General features: G+C 42.3%; 1 protein-coding gene and 1 long non-coding RNA gene across 10 annotated transcripts in view, besides 1 other annotated feature; one reads left to right on the forward strand and one right to left on the reverse strand.

Moving 5' to 3' along the window:
- PDE8A (phosphodiesterase 8A) overlaps positions 1-14,358 on the forward strand; it is a 158,676-nt gene extending 144,318 nt beyond the window's left edge. For all 9 annotated transcript variants that reach the window (NM_001243137.2, XM_047432657.1, NM_002605.3 and 6 more), the window contains 3 exons: positions 1,423-1,590; positions 11,750-11,879; positions 13,013-14,358. In NM_001243137.2, the coding sequence (NP_001230066.1) occupies positions 1,423-1,590; positions 11,750-11,879; positions 13,013-13,119 (405 nt within the window). In that variant the 3' untranslated portion in view covers positions 13,120-14,358. The remainder of the gene's footprint in view (positions 1-1,422; positions 1,591-11,749; positions 11,880-13,012) is intronic.
- Positions 246-796: an enhancer, noted in NCBI's record as "OCT4-NANOG hESC enhancer chr15:85668261-85668811 (GRCh37/hg19 assembly coordinates)". NCBI's record gives its function as "activates a minimal SCP1, AML or CMV promoter by ChIP-STARR-seq in naive H9 embryonic stem cells {active_cell/tissue: H9 hESC(naive)}" and the evidence as "EXISTENCE:reporter gene assay evidence [ECO:0000049][PMID:30033119]".
- On the reverse strand, positions 11,747-14,728 carry LOC124903545 (uncharacterized). The gene is made up of 2 exons (XR_007064746.1): positions 14,542-14,728; positions 11,747-12,957 (listed from the first exon to the last, which is right to left on the reverse strand). It is a non-coding gene; the product is annotated as an uncharacterized LOC124903545 (long non-coding RNA).

A 24,642-nucleotide genomic window follows, 5' to 3' on the forward strand; every position in this document is an offset into this window, starting at 1 on the left:
CACCTGGCCACCACTCCTGGCTGACCTCATGCCACAGAAGGAAACCATACACCCAGCAGACTTGGTTTCCTCTGTCTAGTCTGGACAGCCCCTAGAGCTGAGTTCTCTGCTCCACTTAACATTATGGTTCTCATCTCTGTTGTCGGTACATGGGGTTACTTCTGAGAGACTGAAAATCAATATCCAGTGGGTCAGAGCAGGAGAAAGGAAGATGAAAGAGAATAGTTTCCAGGCTGGCAGTATGAAACTATAGTCACACTGCAGGTATTAACGGATCTGAAGAAAGAAGGGTCAGCACAGAGCTGGTCACAGTGGAAACCTGGAGTGAGGAGAGCTACTGAAGTGTCACCGGTGTAGTATTCATTTTGGCACTCTCCAGGAAGTGTGGGAAGCCTAGAGTCAGGATGCCACCCGTCCATCTTGATGGCAGTCTGTTCCCTCTGAGCTGGGACCATCAGGGCTTCTTAGGCTACTGCTATTGCATATTGAAATATATGACTAACTCCTTTGGAATGTTGCTTGATGGGCACAGAATCAGACTGAGGAGACCTGCTTGCCTTTAGTCTTTTTCATTGCTCTCTGCCCCAATACCCTCTAACCTGAATTCTCTTCAGAGAGCCTACAAATAGTGGTTCTATTACATCATAAATTGATCCATATCCAGTGGGGATCCTTGGATGCAGACAGCATGTGGTACTGTGAGTGGAAGGCATGCTGGGACTAAAGGCAGAACTGAAGTTCTTATCCTGGCTCGGCTGGTTGCTTTGGACAAGTCACTTCACCTCCCTGAGTCTCAGTGTCCTCATTTGTAAAATGTAATAAATAATACTTTTCATGCTTACCATTAGATCTTCTTGTGAGTGCAGATCAACAGAGAATGACTGTTAAGTCCTTTATCCATCAAATATGTTAGGTGTTATCTTGGGAATCTGCCCTATCACAGGACTGGGTTGAGAAGTACGGAGGCTGTTGGGCTGCAAGAGCCCATTTGTTGTGAGGGCAGAGAAATTTATTTTTTTCAGCTCATACTCTTTTTTAATAAATATAATAAAAGACAAAACCAGTCTTTGAGTTCTTACCAAGGGGGAGAGAGAGAGTGGAACAGAAAAAAAGGCAACTGTGAGAAAGATTTAGTGAGAGGAAGAGAAGAAAGAGGCAAGGAAAAGGGGAAGGGCAGATATACCAACCCCTAGTGCTACCCTCCACTTCTAGGTCCTGTTGCAATCTCACTGAGCCTCGGTTTTCTCCTGGGTAAAATGAGAGGCCAAGCTCAATGCTCACAGTATCCTTGGCACTGTTTTGTGAGATCCTTATAGATCCTGACTAGTGCTCTTTTTATGCTTACAGTGGGACAGACCAGTAAGAGAGGGCTTGGCACCAAGGGATCCATTTTGATTGCTTTGAATTCCACTCATGTTTCAGGAAACTGATAAAAACCAGGAAGTGATAAACACTATGCTTAGGACTCCAGAGAACCGGACCCTAATCAAACGAATGCTGATTAAATGTGCTGATGTGTCCAATCCCTGCCGACCCCTGCAGTACTGCATCGAGTGGGCTGCACGCATTTCGGAAGAATATTTTTCTCAGGTAAGTTGCTGCCTCTTTTAAGTTTCTAGAGAGAGAGAGAGTTAAAACCCATAAAATCATACGAGATAATGGACTTAACACTAGGAAATAGGGTTCTAAAAAAATTCTGTCCTTGTTTTGCAAGGTAACAAATGGTAACTGGTAACAAATTTTTTTTTTCTTAAGAATATTTTATTTTCCCTTTATTCTTGCAGGATATTTTTGTTAGATATAGCATCCTGGGTTGATGATTTTTTTCCTGAAAGTACTTTTAAGGAGTCATCTGGTCTTCATATTCTTTCTGAGTAGAAAAAACCTCTCTTGGGGCAGAAAAAAATATTAGGAAATATACTGGCTAAGATTTTTCCAGATTTGGTGGAGGGCATATGCACATGCATATGCATACAGATTCAAGAAGCCCAGTGAACCTTAGCCCATGTCAGATGTGTCATAGTCAAGCAGCTAACAGGCTAAAGATAAATCTTGCAATCAGCCAGAGGAAAAGCGACACATTACTTATAAGAAAACAGTGATTCTCATGTCCTCTGACTTCCCATCAAAAACTATGAAGGCCAGAAGACACGGGAACATCTTTAAAGTGCTGTTAGCTTTGGGAGGATCACTTGAGCCCAGGAGTCTTAAGAGCAGCCTGGGCAACATGGTGAGACCTTGTCTCTACAAAAAAATTAAAAGTTAGCCGGGCATAGTGATGCACTCCTGTAGTCCCAAGCTACTTGGGAGGCTGAGGCAGGAGGATCGCTTGAAGCCCAGGAGGTTGAGGCTGCAGTGAGCCATGATCATGTCACTGCACTCCAACCTGAGCGACAAAGTGAGACCCTGTCTCAAAGAAAACATACAGCTAACATTATATTTAATGGCATGAGATATTGAATACATTCTTAAGATTGGAAACAAGGTAAGGGTGCCCATTCTTACCTCTTCTGTTCAACCTTGTATTGGTGTTCCTCATCATTGCAATAGACAAAGGAGAGAGAGGTTTAAAGAACAAAAAGTAAGACATACATTTGCTTCTGTTTGCAGATGACATGATTTTATGCAGAAAATTCTAAGGAATATACAAACAATTATTAGCACTAATAAGTGGATTTGATTTACCAATGTCATAGGACACAGCTCAATATACAAAAGTGAGTTGTATTTTATGTACTAGCAACCAACAATTGGAAAATGAAACCAAAAGCCCAGTCCCATTTACAGTAGGAAATAAAATTTAAAAATTAAAATTAGGAAAAAATTTAATAAGAGATGACCAGAACTTTACAGTGAAAACCATAAAACATTGCTGAAAATTTTAATGAACACTTGAATAAATGGTGAGGCATATCATGTTCACATACTGGAAGGCTCAGTGTTAACATTCACTTCTACCCAAATTGGTGTTTCAATTCAAAAATTTCAGCAGGTTTTTTTTCTGTGGAAGTCTACAGACTGTTTCTAAATTATATATGAAAATGAGAAGGACCTTGAATAAGCAAAGCAAACTTTAAAAAGTTGGAAGATATGCCCTGTTTGGCTTCAAAACTTAAAATAATCAAGAAAGTGTGGTGCTGGCATAAAGATAACAAGTACAACCATGGGACAGAATAGAAATCCAAGAAACAGATCACATTTATATGATCAGTGGCTAATGTGAAATTTTTGCAGTAAGTGGTGTTAGGATAATTGGATATTCCTATGCAAAAAAAAAAAAAAAAAAAAAGAACCACAACTCCTATCTCATACCATAGAGAAATTCATAGACCTACATACAACAGCTAAAACCATAAAGCTTTTAGAGAGAAACATACCAGAATATCCTCAATGACTTGAAAGTGGACAAAGATTTCTTAGATGCAGAAAGCAACAACCAGCCAGGTGCAGTGGCTTATACATGTCATCTCAGCACTTTGGGAGGCCAAGGTGGGAGGATTACTTGAGTCCAGGAGTTCAAGACCAGCCTCAGCAAGATAATGAGACCGCATCACTAGAAAAAAAAATTTTTTTAATTAGTTGCCTGTGGTGGTGGCACGTGCCTGTGGTCCCAGTTGCAGGAGGATTGCTTGAGCCTCAGAGGTTGAGGCTGCAGTGAGCCATGATTGTACACTGCACTCCAACCTGGGTGACAGAGCAAGACTGTGTCTTAATAAAAAGAAAAGAGCAACAACCATAAGAAGAAAATTTGATAAATTAGACTTCTTCAAAATTTACAAAGTTTGCTCATTCAAAACACAGCTAAGAAAATGAGCAGGCAAGCCATACTGGAGGAAAATATTTACAAATTATATTTGAAAGGACTGTATCCATAGATATATAAAGAACTATAACTCAGTAGTAAAAGATAAACCACCCAATTTATTATAGGCAAGTATTTGTCCAGACACTTCCCCAAAGAAGCTATTATGAAAAGCCAATAAGCACATGAAAAAAGTGCTGAACATCATTAGTCATCTGGGAAATTCAAATTAAAACCACAGTGAAATACCACTACACACCCAATGGGATGGCTAAAAATGGGAAAGGCTGACAACACCAAATGTTGAAGATGTGGAGCAACTAGAATGCATGCATTTGTGATAGATGTGTAGAATGCTACAGTCACTTTGGGAAGCAGTTTAGCAGTTTCTTTTTTCTTCCTTTTTTATGGTAAAATTTACCATTTTAGATCTGGGTTTTCTTCCCTTCATTCTCTTCATATGGTATATCACACTGATCTTCATGTGCGGAACCAATCTTGCATTTCAGAAATAGATTCCACATAGTCATTGTGTATAATCCTTTAATATGCTGCTGAGTTTGGATTGCTAGTATTTTATTAAGGATTTGTGCATCAGTATTTACAGGGGATATTGGCCTGCAATTTTCTTGTAGTGTCTTTGTCTGGCTTTATTAGGATAATGCTGGCCTCATGGAATGAGTTAGGAAGTACTTCCTTCCTTTTCAGTTTTTCTGGAAGAGTTTGAGAAGGATTGATATTAATTCTTCTCAAAATGTTTGGTAGAATTTAACCAGTGAAACCATCCTTTCTTGGGAGGTTTTTGATTACTGATTCAATCTCCTTGCTAGTCATTGGTCTATTCAGATTCTGTTTCTTTATGATTCAGTCCTGGTAGGTTGCATGTTTCTAGGAGTTTATCCATTGTGTTGGCATTCAGTTGTTCATGGTACTCTCTTATAATCCTTTTTATTTCTATGAAACCTGGAGTAATGTTCCCACTTTCATTCTGATTTTGGTAATTTGGGTCTTGTCTTTTTTTCTTAGTCCATCTAGCCAAAGATTTGTCAATCTTGTTGATCTTTTCAAAAAATTATCTTTTGGTTTTGTTTTTTTCTGTTCTCTATATACCTCTGTTCTTTATTATTTCCTTCCTTTTGCTAGCGTTAGGTTTAGTTTATTCTTTCTGTAGCTCCATAACATGTTAAGTTAGGTTGTTGATTTAAAATCTTGTAGGCATTTACAGCTGTTAATTTCCCCCTTATCACTGTTTTTGCTGCATCTAATAACTTTTGGCATAGTGTGCTTCATTTTCATTTGTCTCAAAGTATTTTCTAATTTCCCTTATGATTTCTTCTTTGACCCCTTGGTTGTTTAAGCGTATATTAGTCCATTTGCATTGCTATAAAAGAATACCTGAGGCTGGGTAATTTATAAAGAAAAGTTTATTTTGGCTCATGGTTCTGCAGGCTGTGCAAGCATAGAACTAACATCTGCTCAGCTTCCGGTGAGGGCTCAGGAAGCTTATGATCAGAGCAAAGGAAGGGGGAAGCAGATGTATCACATGGCAGGAGAGCAGGGGGAATTGCCACACTTTTAACCAGATTACCTGTAAACTCAGAGCAAGATCTCTCATTACCATGGGGAGGCCACTAAGCCATTCACGAAGGATCTGCCCCCATGACCCAAACACATCCCACCAGACCCCACCTCCAGCACTGGGGATTATTTTTCAACATGTGATTTGGAGGGGACAGACATTCAAACCATATCAAAGCATATGCTATTTAATTTCCAGATACTTGTGAGTTTCCCGGTTTTCCTTCCATTACTGAGTTTTGGTTCATTTCACTGTTATTAGAAAAGGTACTTTGTATGACCTTACCTTTTAAAATATATACTGTTTGTTTTGTGGCCTATCATATGTTGTATCCTGGAGAATGTTCCATTTGCACTTGAGAAAAAAATGTATACTCTACTGTTGTTGGGTGGATGTTCTATACATTCTGTTAGGTCCAGTTGGCCTAGAGCATTGTTCAAACTCTATTGTCTCATTGTTCTATTCATTATAAAAATGTAGTATTGAAGTCTCCAGCCATTATTTTAGAAGTATCTGTTTCTTCCTTCAGTTCTATAAATGTTTGCTTCATATATTTTGGAACTCTGGTATTTGATGCTTATATGCTTATAATCATTATATCTTCCTGATGAATTGACCCTTTTATTAATGTCCTTCCAGGCTGGAGTGCAGTGGCACAATCTTGGCTCACTGCAACCTCTGCCTCCCAGGTTCAAGCAATTCTCCTGCCTCAGCCTCCTGAGTAGCTGGGATTATAGGCACGTACCACCATGCCTGGCTAATTTTTGTGTTTTTAGTAGAGACGGGGTTTCATGTTGGTCAGGCTGGTCTCTAACTCCTGACCTCAGGTGATCCGCTCACCTCAACCTCCCAAAGTGCTGAGATTACAGGCCTGAGCCACCGCGCCTGGCCTGTAACAGTTTTTGACATAAAGTTTATTTTGTCTTTTAGGATACCCACCCCAGCTCTCTCTTGGATATTATTTTCATGAGATATCTTTTTCCATCCTTTCATTTTCAACATATGTATGTCTTGAGAGCTAAAGTGATTTTCTTGTAGATAGAATGTAGTTGGATCATGTTTTCTTATCCATTCTGACAGTCTGTGGCTTTTGAGTTGAATCTATTTACACTTAAAATAATTACTGATAGGGAAAGACTTTTGCCACTTTGTTAGTTTCCTGTATGTCTTACAGCTTTTTTGTCCCTCTTCCTCCATTACTGCCTCCTGTTGTGCTTATTTGATATTTTGTAATGGCACATTTTGATTCCCTTTTTCTATAGATAGTTGCATTGTGGATACCATAGAGATTGCATAGGACAACCTAAAGTTACAACAGTTGGTTTTGATGTCAACTTAACATTAATTGCATACATGAACTCTTATATAGCTCTACCACCCCACTCCATTTTGTAAATGTCACAAGTAATATCTTTATACATTATATGTCCATTAACATTTAAAATTATTTTTATGCATTTTTAAAAGTAAAGTTACAAAACAAAATTGTAATAATGCTGCTTTTTATATTTTCCCATGTATTTACCATTATCAGAGATCTTTATATCAAGTTACTGTCTAGCTTCCTTTTATTTCAACCTAAAGGATTTCCTTTAGCATTTTTTGTAGGTCAGGTCTAATGGTAATGAATTCCCTTGGCTTATGTTTATCTAGGAATGTCTTAATTCCTCTTTTTTGCAGGACAGTTTGCCTGAATCAGAATTTTCAGTTGACAGTTTTTTATCTTTTAGCACTTCATATATATAATTTCACTGCCTTCTGGCCTTCAAGGTTTCTGCTGAGAAATGAGCAGATCATCTTATTATCTCCTATATGTGATGAGTCTTTTCTTTTGCTGCTTTCGAGATCCTCTGTCTTTTGACTGTTTGGTTATAGTGTGTCTCAGATAGATCTCTTTGGGTTTATCCTACTTGGAGTTTATTTAGCTTCTTGGATTTGTAGATTCATATCTTTCCCCAGATTATGGCATTTTTTGGCCAAGATTTTTTCAAATATGGGGTCTCACTATGTTGCCCAAGCTGGTCTTGAACTCCTGGGTTCAAGAAACCCTCCTGCCTTAGCCTCTCAAGTAGCTGAGGTTACAAATACTGTGCCTGTTGGCTATTATTTCTTCAAATAATCTCTGTCCTTCTCTTCTCCTCTTCTTTTTGCTGAACTCATAAGATGTGTATTGGTCCATTTGATGGTTTCCCATAAATTCATTAGGTTCTATTCACTTTTCTTCATTCTTTTTTCTTTCTTCTGTCTGCCCATATCTGATACTGAACCCCTCTGGTGAAGTTTAATTTGTTTTTTGTATTTTTCAGCCTTCAAATTTGAGATGGAGTTTTTGCTCTGTCGCCCAAGCTGGAGTGCAATGGTGCCATCTTGGCTCACTGCAACCTCTGCCTCTTGGGTTTAAGTGATTCTCCTGCCTCAGCCTCCCAAGTAGCTGGGATTACAGGTGCCCGCCACCATGCCCAGCTAATTTTTGTATTTTTAGTAGAGATGAGGTTTCGCCAGGCTGGTCTCAAACTCTTGACCTCAGGTGATCCACCCACCTCAGCTTCCCAAAATGCTAGGATTACAGGTGTGAACCACCGCACCTGGCTTGTTAGGTTACTTTTCATAATTTCTCTCTTTGCTGATATTCTCACTGTGGTGTTCACCTGTCATTTCCTATAGTTCCTGGTCTGTGTGTGTGTGTGTGTGTGTGTTTTTAGGTCTTTGAGCATATTTAAGACAGTTGTTTTCAAGTCTTTGTCCAGTGCCTGTACATCTTTAGGGACAGTTTCTTTTCTTCCTTTGAGTGTACCATATTTTCTAGTTTCTTTGTATGCCTTGTGATTTTTGTTGAAAATTAGGCATTTTAAAAAACAGCCACCTCTCCTAGTCTTTGAAAACTGTCTCTCAGCCTTACAATTAACCCATCATGAAAGTTTAAAGTTTTCTCAAACATTTTCTGAGCATGTCTTGTCTGGGTCTGCATATACATACTCTTCTTAATTCCCCTATATACACAGCTGCTTTCAGATGTCTTAATTTCCTGAAGTGTCTTGTCTGAGGTTATCCTCAGGGCCTTAGATGATCTGTTGTTGGTCTCCGCTCATAATCTCTTGTCTTCAGGCATCCATATTGGTCATCCCCCTGCAGCTTTCCTGAGCAGTAGTCATTGCTTTTCTACCTGGGAGCTAAGTGAAACAGAGACCAATCCTTCAGGCAGCCCACAGACTTGTCAGAATGTTGCAAATAAGGTCTGCTCTGCTCCCTCCGGTTCAAGGGACACAGCTGGAAACTGGGCCGCTGCCTCCTCCAGACCAAGATTGTACCACACTGGGGAAGTGTGGTGCAAGGTTGAGTGAAAATACCCTTAAGTTTCCTGCTGTTTTGAATGTGGCTTTTCTTGAGTGGGCATTCACTTGGTTGCTGTAGACTTTTGACTGTTTTCCAGAGTTCCTGTAAGGTTATTTTAGCCAGTCTCTCATTTCATGGAGAAATGAGGACTTGGAGCTTCCTAGTCCCCCATATTACTGATGTTACTCCGGTGCTCAGGCTTTGATTTTAAAGTCATTAAGACATTAAGATACAGTTGCTTCTTGTATTCAGTGGGGTTAGGTTTGCAAGTTCACCCCTTATAGCCACCCTGTCTCTTGAATAGCATGGATACTAAGAGTGCCAGGGCCTGAAGCAAGGTGAAGAGGCATCTCTGGTTTGTCTCTGGCTGGGGCTGCTTGACTTCATGGGGAGTGGGGCTTGAGTACCACTTGCCTGGCTCTGTGCCAGGTGTTGTACAGTCTTTTATTTTCGCTTGGGGCACAGCGGTGAAATGTGAAACTTGTAGACCCTGCCTTGCAGGTGGGGTCACAGAAAGGAAGCATCTACAGGTGTGGAGTTCTCACTGGTGACTTAGATGAGGGCATGGGCCACAGTTTGCTGGTCTCCAGGAGGGAACGGGGGCCCCTGGACGTTCCATGCACTTGTCACATTGGGCCAAAGAGAAGAAATCTAAGCACGAGGGTCTTCACTGACCTTCAGCCAGCCAGCTGCTTACATGTGAATAGGGAGGGCAGGCCCTGAGAGCAGAAAGACAGAACAGCCTCTGGATGACTGAGTGGCTGAGCTAACGGAGCCTTTGCCATGGCTGCCCAGAGAGAGCTGGCTTAGGGTCTAGCGTGACCAAGGGAGGGCACATCAGGAGAGCGCCCCGCCCAGGGCACTGCTGTTTGAGCTGGACAGGCCCATGGGGTGTGAACCCAAGGCCCTCCCTGCGCCCCCACCCCTTCCTCTCTATACCATGGCAGAGACTCGTGTAGGGCTGACTGCTTTTCTTAGACAGCAGTGGGGCTGCCAACAGCAGGGCCTTCACCACAGCCAGCGGATGCTGGGCCAGCGTTCCCCACTCCTCTTACCAAAGCACGTGAATCCCATATGCTGAACCACCAGAACAGCAGGAACTCTTCTGACTTTTGCTCAGTCCCACAGTCTAGCACTGTTCACCTGACTTTCTTGGCACTTGTCCCCAGCACCGTCAACACTTACCTAGCATACACGCACCTCTGGGCACTGTGCTAGGTATGGTGCCATCCTAGGAAAACCTCCAGAGGTTCGCCTGCTTCTCTCAAGTAGAGAGCCCATATGGAGAGCCGGAGTGAGTTGTTGTGCACAGGGCAAGGTGCAGAAATACTTGGTAGAGCCAGGCCTCTGGGTGTCACTCTGGGAGAGCCTGAGGTGCTGGGCCAGGTGTAGTAAGGAAGATGGGAGAAGGGTGACTGAGTGCACAGAAAAAAGGCAATGGAGTCAGCGACTTTAGGGAGCTCCACGCAAGTGCCGGAGCTGGTGCCGTAGAGCTGCGGTGGGGGGAGAGAGATGCTGGGACGAGAGAACTTTCTGACCTGGCATCCCCTGGAGGGCCTGTGAGTGCAAGCATGGGAACGTTCTGGGCGAGGTGCTGCAGCCATGGTGAGGCCCTGTGGAGCAAGGGCTAAGGGGAGGAGCTGCGAGTGAGTTCTGCCAGCTACCAGAGCCTGGCTGTGATGGGGTGAGCTCTGCTGGCCATTTGGGAGCTGGAAGTTCGGCTGTGAGTGTAGAAGACACGTCTTGTGAGTGGCCAACAGTGGGACGAGACTTCAGTGGTTAGCAAGTGGTTAGCCTTTCTTCTGTGCACTCAGCTACCCTTCTCCCTTACCACACCTGGCCCAACACCTCCTCAGGCCCTCCCAGAGTGACCCCCAGAGGGCTGGCTCTACCCCCTCCAGCCCTGGCACTGGGGAGAAAGGCTAGTGTTCAATACAACAGCCACCATCCCTTCACCCGGCCCCACACATGTACTAGGGTCCCATCTAGAAGAGCTGCTCCCCCCAGCCCACTCCTACCTCACTCCATCTGCGCTCACCCTGTTCTCATCCTGCCCCACTGTTTGACTTGACTCCCAGCACAGGCGCCCTGGCACAGCAGGGATCTTGCAGCGATTCCGGTTGCACATCCACAGGGGCTTCTAAAGAATGCACTCAGGACTTCTGGCCTCATTCCCACCCCATGGACCTTACCTCACCCTTTTCTCCAGCACCATTGGGCCAAAATGAGACCTTATCAAAGAAAGAACAGGACGCTTGCCTTTTTCCTCAGGTTCTTAATTATGTTTTTAGTTTTTTGCGAGTCTCTCTGAAATCCTGAAGATGTGGAAGAGTTTGACTAAAGTACATAAATACTCAGAGCTCTTTTTTTTTTTAAACATCCAGGATCTCAAGGGTGTTCAGAACCTTTTCAAAAAAATAATTTAGCCATAGATGAGAAGCAGCCACTAGGCCCTTCCTTGTAAAGTGGCCCCTGTGTGGGGATGCTTCAAGCCAGGTGGAAGGACGGCTGGACTGTGATAGGAGTGAGAAAAGAACAGATCTTTTTCTTTGAGGGATGTGAGCCCCCTTAGTTGTCAGACCCAGAGAGGCATTGAAATGTGACAGCAGTTACGTCTCACTCCCCACCCTGACCTAAGTAATCGCCTGCTCTGTGGACTCTAGGCCAGTAGCCTGTAAACTCTGTATATTAATTTTGCCTCAGTTTCTTTAGGTCAATACGAACAACAGAGCGGTGGCTGACTACACATAATGTTTGGGATCTTACCTGAAGAGCTTCTGCAAGGAGGCTTCCAGATGTTTAAAGTTTGGCTTGAGTTGGGGTGTCCTCAGACCCCACTGACATGGAGTAGTCCTCATTCTGAGAACTTGGTATCTGTTATGAGACATGGTTTGGCTGCGTGAGGTGGTGATTGGCTTCTCACCATGACAAGCCACCTTAGGCTGCCAGGAGAAGCTCTTCCTGGGGGAGGGGCTGCCCCTAGGTGGAGTGGAACCAGATGTTGGGGTCTCCTGATCACATTTTCTGCTTTACAGACTGATGAAGAGAAGCAGCAGGGCTTACCTGTGGTGATGCCAGTGTTTGACAGAAATACCTGCAGCATCCCCAAATCCCAAATCTCTTTCATTGATTACTTCATCACAGACATGTTTGATGCTTGGGATGGTAAGAAATCTTCCTTAAAATAGCATATTTTCCTCTAAATAATGGGGAACCGCGTATGAAAGAGCAGAGTGCATTTGACTGTAGAATATGATTTGGGGCCTGGGCTTTCAAGAACAAGAGCGAAGTGAACCATCACCGAGGGCCCCTGAGGGCTAGGTGTTCTTTCTTAACACTCCCCGCAGGCATAGGTGTCTTTATGCCTGTTTTATAGATGACGGGATTGAACTTGGGGCCCCACAGCTTGTAGTAGAGCAGCTAGGGTTCAAAACCAATCGTGCTGGCTCCAAAACCCATGGTGTTTCTACAGCAGCCCTTTGCCCTCCACTGTCCCCTGCTTCTCCCAGCCTCACTCTACACAAGACCAGAAGGACTGGTCTGTCTCTGACTGATGCATGTCACCCTCCTTTAACTTCAGGTGGGGCACAGGAGTCTGTCAAATAAAAGAATATCGGAGAACTGATATTCCACGTGCATCTTCGTCCTGAGGGCTGCACCTTGAAGGAGGGGCTACAGGGCTGATAAATGTCCAGATCCAGTCAGGAAATAAACCCATGTCTCAAGAAGGCCGTAGAACAGGGGTAGGCGGCTGGGGAGAAGGACTGAAGCAGTGGAGCTAGATAGCTGCAGCTTTGGGGGACACTGCATACTCTGCAGCTCACTGCTTCTGGGACTGAGACCAGACGCGTGTGTCCCCAGGCTGCACGTTCTTCATGTGGTGCAGGTGAAAGGAGATGCTGGTGTATGTGAAGCATGCGTGAAGGGACAGTGAGCACACAAGGGCCAGGCCATCGGTTGGGGCGGGGGGGCAGGGGCACACTACATACTGCTTTCTGACACCCCAGGCCCAAAGGTGCTGCTGGTTTAATGGTAATTAAGCAGATTAGCCACCTTCTGTTTTATTTACCACAGTTACCAGCTCAGCAGGTGGTCACAGAGGAGGTGCTGGCATTGAGGACAGGGTTTAACTTCAGTCAGCCACGGCTCGTTGAAGCTGCTGGGTGTGTTTGCCCGGGTCTGTTTAGCCTCACGCAGATGCCTGCTCCCATCTGTCACTCTTTAAAATGCTCTTAGTGAAAGCCTAAAATGTAAACAGAGGCTGTGAAAGCATATCACATTCCTATCTTTCTCTCCAGCCTTTGTAGACCTGCCTGATTTAATGCAGCATCTTGACAACAACTTTAAATACTGGAAAGGACTGGACGAAATGAAGCTGCGGAACCTCCGACCACCTCCTGAATAGTGGGAGACACCACCCAGAGCCCTGAAGCTTTGTTCCTTCGGTCATTTGGAATTCCTGAGGGCAGCCAGAGCTCCTTGGTCCTTTCAGTACTAGGCAGAACAGCCCCCGATCTGCATAGCCTGTGAAAGCCCACGGGGACATCAGTAACCTTCTGCAGCCACCATCCAATGCCATTACTGTCAAGTGAGACTTGGCCACTGTAGCCTGGGCCTGCTGCAGGAGCTCTTCAGAAAGGCACATGAGGACCACGGTTTGCCTCAGTTTCTGGTAAAACACAAGGTCTGGAGTGCCCCTGCAAAGGGTATTGATGGACTTCCTGCCAGTGACAGAGCATGTCTATTGCAAACAATTCTCTCAGTTACGTTCAGCACTTAAGAACGGCTAATGGCAATAGGATCTTTAGCAACTTTTTCACATCATAGAAGGTGCAATCGCTCACTTGGGAACACTACTGAGAGTGACTTCTCTTTTAAAATTGAGTAGCAGATGAAAAATTAAAATTTGAACTTGATTATTAATATCAATTAAAATGTTTTATTTATTTTATTAAAAGCTCAATATTTTCTATGAATTCAAAAATACTTCAGAGCCAAAGCCAACTTCAAATACCGTGACCAAATTTACATGATTCATATTCATTATGCATTACTTGGTATACAGACTTATTTTCATAATGCAAATTAATAAAATGACACTTTTACTGCACTATAGAAATATTCATGTATGTTAAACTTTTCTGATTGAGGCTAACTGGAAAAAGCTGGGGTCGTATTCTAAGTGCTAAAGAAGGCTGCTTCTACTGTATAGAACCCAGGGCTCTGAAACAGCTCTAGCCGCCTAATGCACTTCACAGGTAACTCCCCAAGGTAAAACTAGACTCTCTTGTTGGTTCGCAAAGAAAAGTTAGGACTTAACACTTTTTTCTAAAATTTTATAATTCAATTTCCAAAAGTCTACTCTATTTTATACTGTTTCTACAAAATATTCCTTATAAAAACAAAGAACAAAAATTGAATATTTAATGAATTGACATTTTATAACCAACCTGTTTTTATCTACGGTGGGAATCTTTGATGCCAGAAATTTATAAAGAGGTTCTGTATCTTCACACCTTGAATAAGCATAATACCATAAAAAATGACACTTGACATGTCAATGTATTTGTCATTTCATTTTAAACTCGTATTTGTGGTTTTTTTCCCAGATAAAAATGAAATTAAACCATTTCTTTTTAAGAAATCATGTTTTATCATCTTTTTGGAGAGTTCTTTGTCTCATAATACTTATAATATTTTTTTTTTTAAATAAAGGTCAGGCACAGTGGCTTATGACCGTAATCTCAGCACATTGTGAGCCTAAGAGTTCAAGACCAGCCTGGGCAACGTAGCAAGACCTCATCTCTACAAAAAATTTAGCATGCACCTGTGATCTCTGCTGCTTAGGAGCTGAGGTGGGAGGACTGCCTGAGCCCAGGAGTTCAGTGCTGCAGTGAGCTATGATCATGCCACTATACTCCAGCCTCGGCAGCAAAGCAAGACCCTGTCTCTAAATCATAAAGAAAAGAAAGAATATTCCTTACTTTACAGAAAAGACTGGTAGTTAAATGACTTTTTCAAGGTCACACAGGGCCAGATGAGTATGTTGAGAAGTTCTCAGAATTAACCTTAGTTCACTGCCTGGTACCTCTGAATGGGAATTGAGAGATAAGAGGCACACTGGAGAACTGACAGGGCTCTCAGAGATGGGTCCTGGGCACGAGGTGCCCATTCAGAGATGTCAGGGCACTGGAGGGCTGACAGGGCAAGCCCTTTGGAGTTTCTGTTTAAGGAAACAAAGGCTTTGTCCTGTGTTAAGATATTTGGCCTGAGATGGTAATTGTGGACTGAGCGGGGAAGACAGTTCTGTCCCCTCCCCAGGTGCAAAGAAAAAAGGAAACAAACCACACGAAGAACTCGACCATCTTGAGGCAGAGATAGCAGTGTGTGCAATATATGGAATTTGCATCACCAAGAGCTGGTAATAATTATCAAATAATCTGAAAGAGACTTTAAGATGAGTAGGCTTAACATGCTTAAACAGATAAGCGAAAAAGAAACTAAACCAGGCCAGGCTCAGTGGCTCATGCCTGTAATCCCAGCACTTTGGGAGGCCGAGGTGGGCGGATCACGAGGTCAGGAGATTGAGACCATCCTGGCCAACACGGTGAAACCCCATCTCTACTAAAAATAGAAAAAATTAGCCGGGCGTGATGGTGGGTTCCTGGAGTCCCCAGCTACTCGGGAGGCTAAGGCAGGAGAATGGCATCAACCCGGAAGGCAGAGCTTGCAGTGAGCCGAGATGGCGCCACTGCACTCCAGCCTGGGCGACAGAGCAAGACTCCGTCTCAAAAAAAAAAAAAAAAAAAAAAAAAAACACACAAAAACCTAAACCAAGACAGACAGTTTAAAAATAAAATAATAGATTTGACAAAAAAACATATTAATAGACATTCTAGAGATGATGACTATAGTCACTGAAACAGACAAAAAACTTCAATGTCTAGGTGTCACAGAAGACCAGACGTAACTAGAGGGAATTAGTAAATTGGAAGACAATGAAGGGACTCAATTAGAATACAGCACAGAGAGAAAAATGGAAAAGAAAATATGAGAGCAGAAAGAAACACTTCAAAATATGTCCAATTAGGAGATCCAGAAGGGAGAGCAGGAAGAAGCACCATCTGGAGGAGTGCAGAGTCCTCCAGGATTTGATAGACGCAAGTCCGCAGATTTAAAGGCACAGCGAATCCTAGGCAATATGAATAAATCCATACAAGTGAAACTAGACCAGTGAGCACAAAGAGAAATACAAAGCTGAGAAAAAACAGTCCGGGCACAGTGGCTCACGCCTGTAATCCCAGCACTTTGGGAGGCTGAGGTGGGCAGATCACGAGGTCAGGAGTTCGAGACCAGCCTGGCCAATGTGGTGAAACCCCCGTCTCTACTAAAAATAGAAAAGTTAGCCAGGCGTGGTCACGGGTACCTGTAGTCCCAGCTACGTAGGAGGCTGAGGCAGGAGAATCGCTTGAACCTGGGAGGCAGAGGTTGTGGTGAGCCAAGATCGCACCATTGCTCTCCAGCCTGGGCAACAAGAGTGAAACTGTGTCCAAAAAAAAAAAAAAAAATCACAGGAAAGCAAAGAAGAAATAAAGTGCAACTAATGCAACCAATAAAAGACAAATGGAAAAAGAAAATGCATGAGTTAGAAAAGACAGTGGCAGAAATAAGTATAAACTCATACACAAAATCAATTGTAAAGATCTACATGTAAAAAAAAGTAGCATATGGTGAAACCCCATCTCTACTAAAAATACAAAAATTAGCTGGGCTTGGTGGCGTGTGCCTATAGTCCCAGTTACTTAGGAGGCTGAGGCAGGAGAATCGCTTGAACCCAGAAGGCGGAGGTTGCAGTGAGCTGAGATCGTGCCACTGCACCCCAGCCTGAATGACAGAGCAAGATTCCATCTCAAAAAAGAAAACAAAACAAAAGTAACATATGACAAAAGATACAAATCAAACTAGGTAGCTCAAATCAATGTAAATTTATTGTCTTATGTTTCCTGGGACTGTAAGGCTGGAGGTCAAGGTGTCCACAGGGTTGGTTCCTTCTGTAGGCCCAGAGAGAAAAACCATGCTGTGCTGCTGACATGTTCCTTAGCTAGCAGATGCATTGTCCCAATCTCTGCCTCCATCTTCACATTGCCTAATGTGGGACTTGTGTCCTCCCTTCTATTTATAAAAACACTGGTCCATGCTAAATCCAGGCTGGTTTCACTTCAAAATCCTTAACTAATTACATCTGGAAGGACCCTATTTCCACATGAAGTCACATTTTGAGGTTTCAGGGGGACACTGTTCTACCCATGACAGATGGTGATACCACATTCTTGTTTGCTTACTCTGATGAAGCAAGCTGCCATATTGTGAGCTGCCTTGTGAGACACACATGGCAAGGAACTAATGTTAGCCTGCAGCTCACAACCAGCAAGGAACTGAATCCTCCCAGCAACCACGTGAGTAAGGTGGAAGTAGATCCTGCCCTAGTCAAGTCTTTAGATGAGACCACTCTCCCAGGAGACACCTTGATTACAGCCTTACAAGAGAATCTGAGCCGGAGGGCCCAGCTAAGCTACACCTGGAATCCTGACTCACAGAAACTGAGATAACACATGTTTTAAGCCATTACATTTTAATGCAATTTGTTACACAGCAACAAATAACTAATGTGTAAACTGTAGAGCACTGAAAAAGACTGAAGCAGAGCTACAGATGTTGACGGGGAAAAATTAATAATATTGGATGAAAAGGCAAAATTGCACTAAGATGTAGTTTATGTAAATTTTTTGAATACCCAAAACAATACACTAATGCTCATGTAAAAATAAATAGTAGGAACATTAAAATTCAAATATTCAGGAAGTTTACAAATACTGTGAACTGGCTTGTACAATACTGCCTAGCTTCCTGGTGAACACACAAAGTAGAGAGTGAAAAGCCTTTCTTCCAAACTCCTTTGCACCAAGGTTTTTATATCTAATTTAGGTTCACTTGTCAGATGGCATTTGTCCAAGACTCTGATTTAGAACTGAGTCATAAATGGAAAAAAGCAAAGGTCCGCATTGGGGCATCAATTTTGAATGTCAGAAATGCCATTCTAGACCCAGCAGCTATAATGACAGCTTCCTGATTGTGGTAGAAACAAGGCTCTGGAGGCACGGCAATAACCATGGCAGCCCAGCCTGAGGTGTGATCTTAAGGAGACTTTCCAGGAAACACAGTCAAGGGTCTTATTTCTTCAGCTCTTGCACTGATAAATCCCTTCAGCTTAAACCAGCTAGAGGAGTTCTCCAGTCTCAAAATTAAGGACTCTGATCAAGACCAGAAGTATATACTCCAACTTGACAATGGCAGTTACCTATGGAGGCTGGGGAGGGGTCTGGTGCTGGGAAAACATTCAGAGGGAACTATGTGTATTTTCTATTTTTGAAATAATACATAAAGCAGAAGCAGGGCATGGTGGCTCATGCCTGTAATCCCACTACTTTCGGAGGCCGAGGCAGGCGGGTCACCTGAGGTCAGGAGTTCAAGACCAGCCTGGCCAATATGGTGAAATCCCGTCTCTACTAAAAATACAAAAAAAAAGTAGCTGGGCATAGTGGCGGGCGCCTGTGATCCCACTTACTTGGGAGACCGAGGTGGGAGAATCGCTTGAACCCGGGAGGCAGAGGTTGCAGTGAGCTGAGATCGTACCACTGCACTCCAGCCTGGTGACAGAGCAAGACTCCATCTCAAAAAAAAAAAAAAAAAAAAAAAAGGTAGACACAGAAAAATGTTAATATTTATTAAGTCTAGTGGTGAAGTACATTGATTTTTTAAAGGCAGCTAGGGCCAAGGCAGCTAGGATATTTTTTCTTCTTTTGAGACAGGTCTCTGTTGCCCAGGCTGGAGTGCAGTGGCGCAATCAGGCTCACTGCAGCCTCTACCTCCCAGGCTCAAACAGTTCTCCCACCTCAGCCTCCTTGAGTAGCTGGGACTATAGGCACATATTTTAAGCAGAGAAAGTAGTACACAAAACAGAAGCCATATGAAAACACAATTAAAAAATCAACAATAAAAATCAAAATATTTTATGTGACAAATGACAATATGTCAAAAGCAAGGAAATGTTTATAATTCATTTTATAAAAGCTTACTTCCATAATACTGATTTTTAAAATTTTTATATGAGAAAATGAACAGTACGGTAGAAAAAATTTAAAAATGTTATGAACAGAAAGTTTGTAGAAAAACAAAAGGTTCTTAAAGTTTATACTACACTGATAGTAATCAAATGCAAATTAGAACCAATTTGAGATATTTTTCACCTTTAAGATGAGTAAAGAATAAAAAGTTTGATAATATAGTATGTTAATAAGAATGTGTGGGCCGGTTGCAGTGGCTCACGCCTGTAATCCCAGCACTTTAGGAGGCCAAGGCAGGCAGATCATAAGGTCAGGAGTTTGAGACCAGCCTGTCCAACATAGTGAAACCCTGTCTCTACTAAAAATATAAAAATTAGCCAGGCGTGGTGGCGGGCACCTATAATCACAGCTACTCCAGAGACTGAGGCAGAAGAATTGCTTAAACCCAGGGGGCAGAGGTTGCAGTGAGCCGAGATGGCGCCACTGCACTCCAGCCTGGGTGACAGAGCAAGACTCTCTCGGGGAGGGGGCGGGGGTGGGTGGTAAAAAAAAGAAGAATGAGTGGAAATGACATGGCAGGTGAGTATAATTAGTACAACCTAATTACAAATTTGCCAAATCTATCCAAATTGCAAATGTACATGCAGTGTGACCTGGCAATTCTACTTCCAGGATTTTAGCCTAAAGATATTTACACGTGGGAAATAATAGTCTACAAAATTATTTATTATTTACTACTTATATTAGTAAAAGACTGGAAACAAATTGTCTATCATTTAAGAAGAGTAAGTAAACAAGTTACAGGTATGACCATACAACAGAATACTATGCAACTGTAAAAAAGAATGAGGAGACTTATTTTCCAGATCCGCATGTAAGGAACTTGAAAGTCGCCACTTCATTCTAACAAGTAAAAAGCTAAACAGCCTGAAAAATCAACAGCTCTTCCTAGATCTGTAAGAAAGGTGAGGATACAAGTCAAACTGCTGCCCCTAAGATAGGAGAGACCAGCAGGCAAATACAGGAAATTATATCTTACTGGAGCAGAGATTCATGAGTGGAAACCACCATGGGAACCAGTGCCAGGGTAGAAGAACCTGTCAGTAATTGAAGAATTGGTGGAGGCTCAATGTGGACAGTCTAAGAATTAAAACTCCTGGGGAACCCAGTTATAAGGGGTGCCCCCCGCCTGCACTTTCGTGAATTTTACCTCCAAGAGCTTCACAGTTCTCACAGTAAATATAACAGGAAAATTCCCTCATACTTCCAGCAAAGAGAGGAGGAAAGCACTGTTTTGTTTATAGCAAAAACACTGCGAATGAATGAAAAGTGCTTTTGATGGGCTCATTAATAGGCTGGACATGAATTAGGAGTGAATCTCTCAGCTTGAAGACATGTCAAATAGAAACCTACAAAACTGAAAATTAAAGAGAATAGGACTGAGCAAAATATCCAAGGACTATGGAGCTAAAAAGTTGTAATATACATGTTATAAGAATAGCAGAGGGAAAATACAGAAAGAAAAGAACAGAAGAAATATTTGAGGCCAAATGTGGTGGCTCATGCCTGTAGTCCCAGGGCTTTGGGAGGCCAAGGTGGGAGGATCACTTGAGGCCAGGAGTTTGAGACCAGCCTGGGCAACATAGTGAGAGCCACACCCATTTTTAAAAAAAAGCCAGGCCGGGCACGGTGGCTCAGGTCTGTAATCCTATCACTTTGGGAGGTAGAGGCAGGTGGATCACCTGAGGTCAGGAGTTCGAGACCAGCCTGACCAACATGGAAAAACTCTGTCTCTACTAAAAGTACAAAATTAGCAGGGTGTGGTGACACATGCCTGTAATCCCAGCTACTCGAGAGGCTGAGGCAGGAGAATCGCTTGAACCCAGGAGGCAGAGGTTGTTGAACCAAGATTATGCCATTGCACTCCAGCCTGGGCAACAAGAGCGAAACTCTGTCTCAAAAAAAAAAAAAAAAAAAAAAAAACCCAAAAAATGAAAAACACATAGATTAAATGGATGGAGAAAATATACCACACTAACACTAATCAAAAGAAAGCAAGACCATCCTAGACAACATGGTGAAACCCTGTCTCTACTAAAAATACAAAAATTAGCTGGGCGTGGTGTTGCACACCTGTAGTCCCAGCTACTCAGGGGGACTAAGGCAGGAGAATCGCTTGAACCTGGGAGGCAGAGGTTGCAGTGAGCCAAGAACGCGCCACAGCACTCTAGCCTCATGACAGAGCGAGACTCTGTCTCAAAAAAAAAAAAAGAAAGGAGTAGTTACATTAATTGCAAACAGAGGAGACTTAAAAGCAAGGAAAGTTATCAAGGATAAAGAAGGTCATTAGATTATGATAAAGAGATCATTTCTCCAAGACATAATAATCCCTAACATGTATACACCAAACAACATAATATCAAACTACATGAGCCCCAAACTGATAGAACTGTAAGGAGAAAAGATTAATCCACTATTACACTGGGAGATTGCAACACTCTTTTATCAGAAGTAAACAGATTCAGCTGGCAGAAAATTTAGTAAGGACATAGTTGAATCCTACAACACTATCAGTCAACTGGATATAACTGACATCTATAGACTAGTTCAGCCAACAACAGCAGATTACCCTTTCTCCTCAACCCCACATGGAACATTCACCAAGACAGACCATATCCTGGGTTATAAAACACACTTTAACACATTTAAAAAAGGAAATTAGGCCAGGCGCAGTGGCTCACGCCTGTAAACCCAGCACTTTGGGAGGCCGAGGCGGGCAGATCACGAGGTCAGGAGATCAAAACCATCCTGGCTAACACGGTGAAACCCTGTCCCTACTAAAAATACAAAAAAATTAGCTGGGTGTGGTGGCGGGCACCTGTAATCCCAGCTACTTGGGAGGTTGAGGCAGGAGAATGGTGAGAACCCGGGAGGCAGAGCTTGCAGTGAGCCGAGATGGTGCCACTGCACTCCAGCCTGGGTGACAGAGTGAGACTCCGTCTCAAAAAAAAGAAAAGAAAACAAAAAACAAAAAAAACAAATTAGGCCAGGTGCAGTTGCTCATTCCTGTAATACCAGCACTTTGGGAAGCCAAGGTAGGAGGGTCAACTTGAGCCCAGGAGTTCAAGACCAGCTTGAGCAACATGGTGAGACCCTGTCTCTACAAAAAATTCTAAAAATGACTGGGTGTGGAGGTACACACCTGTGGTCCCAGCTACTTGGGAGGCTGAGGTAGTAGAATCACATGAGCCCAGGAGTTCGAGACTGTAAGAAGCCACGATTGCACCACTGCACACCAGCTTGGGTAACAGAGCAAAACCCTGTTTCCTAATTAATTAATTAAAAATAAAAATCAGACAGTATCTTCTCTCAGAAGACAATGGAATTAACCTGTAATCAATAACAGAAAGACAATTGGAAATATTCAAAATATGTGGAGATTAATGAACATACTTCTAGGGCCGGGCACCATGGCTCACATCTATAATCCCAGCACTTTGGGAGGCCGAGGCAGGAGGATCACCTGAGACCAGGAGTTCAAGACTAGCCTGAGAAACACAGTGGGACCCTGTCTCAGCAAAAAATACAAAAATTAGCCAGGCATGATGGCATGCATCTGTAGTCCCAGCTACTCAGGGGGCTGAGGTGAGAGGAACTCTTGAGCCTGGGAAGTCAAGGCTGCAGTCGGTCATGATGGCACCACTGCATTCCAGCCTGGGCAACAGAGTGAGACCCTGTGTCAAAAACAAAAACAAAAAAACACACATAATTAACACATGGGCCAAAGAAGAAACCTCAAGAAATTTTCAAATATTTTAAACTAAATGAAAATTAAAACACAACTTACCAAAATTTGTGGCATACAGTGAAAGCAGTGTTTAGAGGGAAGTTTATAGCATTTAATGTGTGTATTAGAAAAGAATACAGTATACAATTAATTATCTAAGCTTCTACCTTAGGAAACTGGAAAAAGAACAAATGAAATCCAAAATAAACAGAAGAAATAGTAAAAAATTAGACCAGAAATCAATGATATTAAAAACAGGAAATAAAGTCAATGAAACCAAAAGCTGGTTCTTGGAGAAGACCACAAAATTGATAAGGCTTTAGCCAGGTTTACTGAGAATAAAAGAAGACACAAATTACTAATATCAGAAACAAAAGAGAGGATATCACTACAGATCTCATAGACATTAAAAAGATAAAGGAATACTATGAATAACTCCACACCCACAAATTTGATAACCTAGATGAAAAGGACCAATTCGGCCGGGCATGGTGGCTCATGCCTGTAATCCCAACACTTTGGGAGGCCGAGGCAGGTGGATCACTTGAGGTCAGGAGTTCAAGACCAGCCTGGCCAACATGGTAAAACCCTGTCTCTACTAAAAATATAAAAATTAGCCAGGTGTGGTGGCAGGCACCTACAATCCCAGCTACTCAGGAGGCTGAGGCAGGAGAATCGCTTGAATCTGGGAGGCGGAGGTTGCAGTGAGCCGAGATCATGCCACTGCACTCCAGCCTGGGCAGCAGAGTGAGACTCAGTGTCAAAAAAAAGAAAGAAAGAAAAGGACCAATTCTTTGAAAGACACAATCTGCCAAAACTCACAAGAAACAATCAATCTGAATAAGCCTATATCTATTAAAGAAATCAATAATTAATAACTTTTCAAAACAGAAAATGCCAGGCTCAAATGGGTTCACTTGTGAATTCTGTTAGACATATAAGGAAGAAATTATACCCTTATTTTACAATCTGGTTCAGAAGATCAAAGCAGAAGGGATACTTTATAACTCATTATATGGGGCCAGACTCATACACATACCAGACAAAGACATGGCAAGCAAATGACAGACCAATATCTTTCATGAACCTAGATACAAAAATCCTCAACAAAATATTAGCAAATAGAATCCAGCAATGTGTAAAAAGAATTACACTTCACAACCAGATAGGATTTATCCCAAGTATGAAAAACCACAGTTATCATACTGAATAGTGAGAAACTAGAAGCTTTCCTGCTAACAACAGGAGCAATGCAAGGAGGTCCCTGTCACCATTCCTTTTCAACACTGGACTGCAGTCCAGTGCAGAGAAAGGATATACTGAATAAGAAGGAAGAAATAAAACTGTGTTCGCAGATGACATGATTACCTATGTAGAAAATCCAAAAGAATAAAAAAACCTGGAATAAGCCATTATGGCAAGGTTACAGAGTACAATGTTAAAAAACAAAAGTCAGTCACTTTCCTATACCAACAATAAGTAGAATTTGAAATTAAAAACACAATAGTATTTATGTTAGCCCCCCCACCTCAAAATGAAATACTTATATATAAATCTAACAAAATATATACAAGATCTTTATAAGGGAAACTACAAATCTTATATGAAAGAAATCAAAGAAGAGCTGAATAAATGAAGAGCTATTCCATGTTCATAGATAGGAAGACTCAATATTGCCAAGATGTAATTTCTTCACAGCTTCATCTAGATTCAATGTAACCACAATCAAAATCCCAGCAAGCTATTTTGTGGATCTTAACAAACTGATTTTACAGTTTACTGGAGAGGCAAAAGACCCAGAATAGCCAACAGGATACTAAGGGAGAAGAACAAAGTTGGAAGACTGATACTACCTGACTTCAAGACTTACTATAAAGCCACAGTATTCAAAAAGATGCAGTAGGGCGAAAGAATAAATAGATCAATGGAACAAAATAGAGTGCCAGAAATAATGGACCCCACATAAATATAGTCAACTGATATTTGACAAGGGAGCAAAGCAACACAATGAAACAAA

The sequence above is a fragment of the Homo sapiens genome, chromosome 15 (assembly GCF_000001405.40).
Source record: "Homo sapiens chromosome 15, GRCh38.p14 Primary Assembly".
Taxonomy (NCBI): domain Eukaryota; kingdom Metazoa; phylum Chordata; class Mammalia; order Primates; family Hominidae; genus Homo; species Homo sapiens.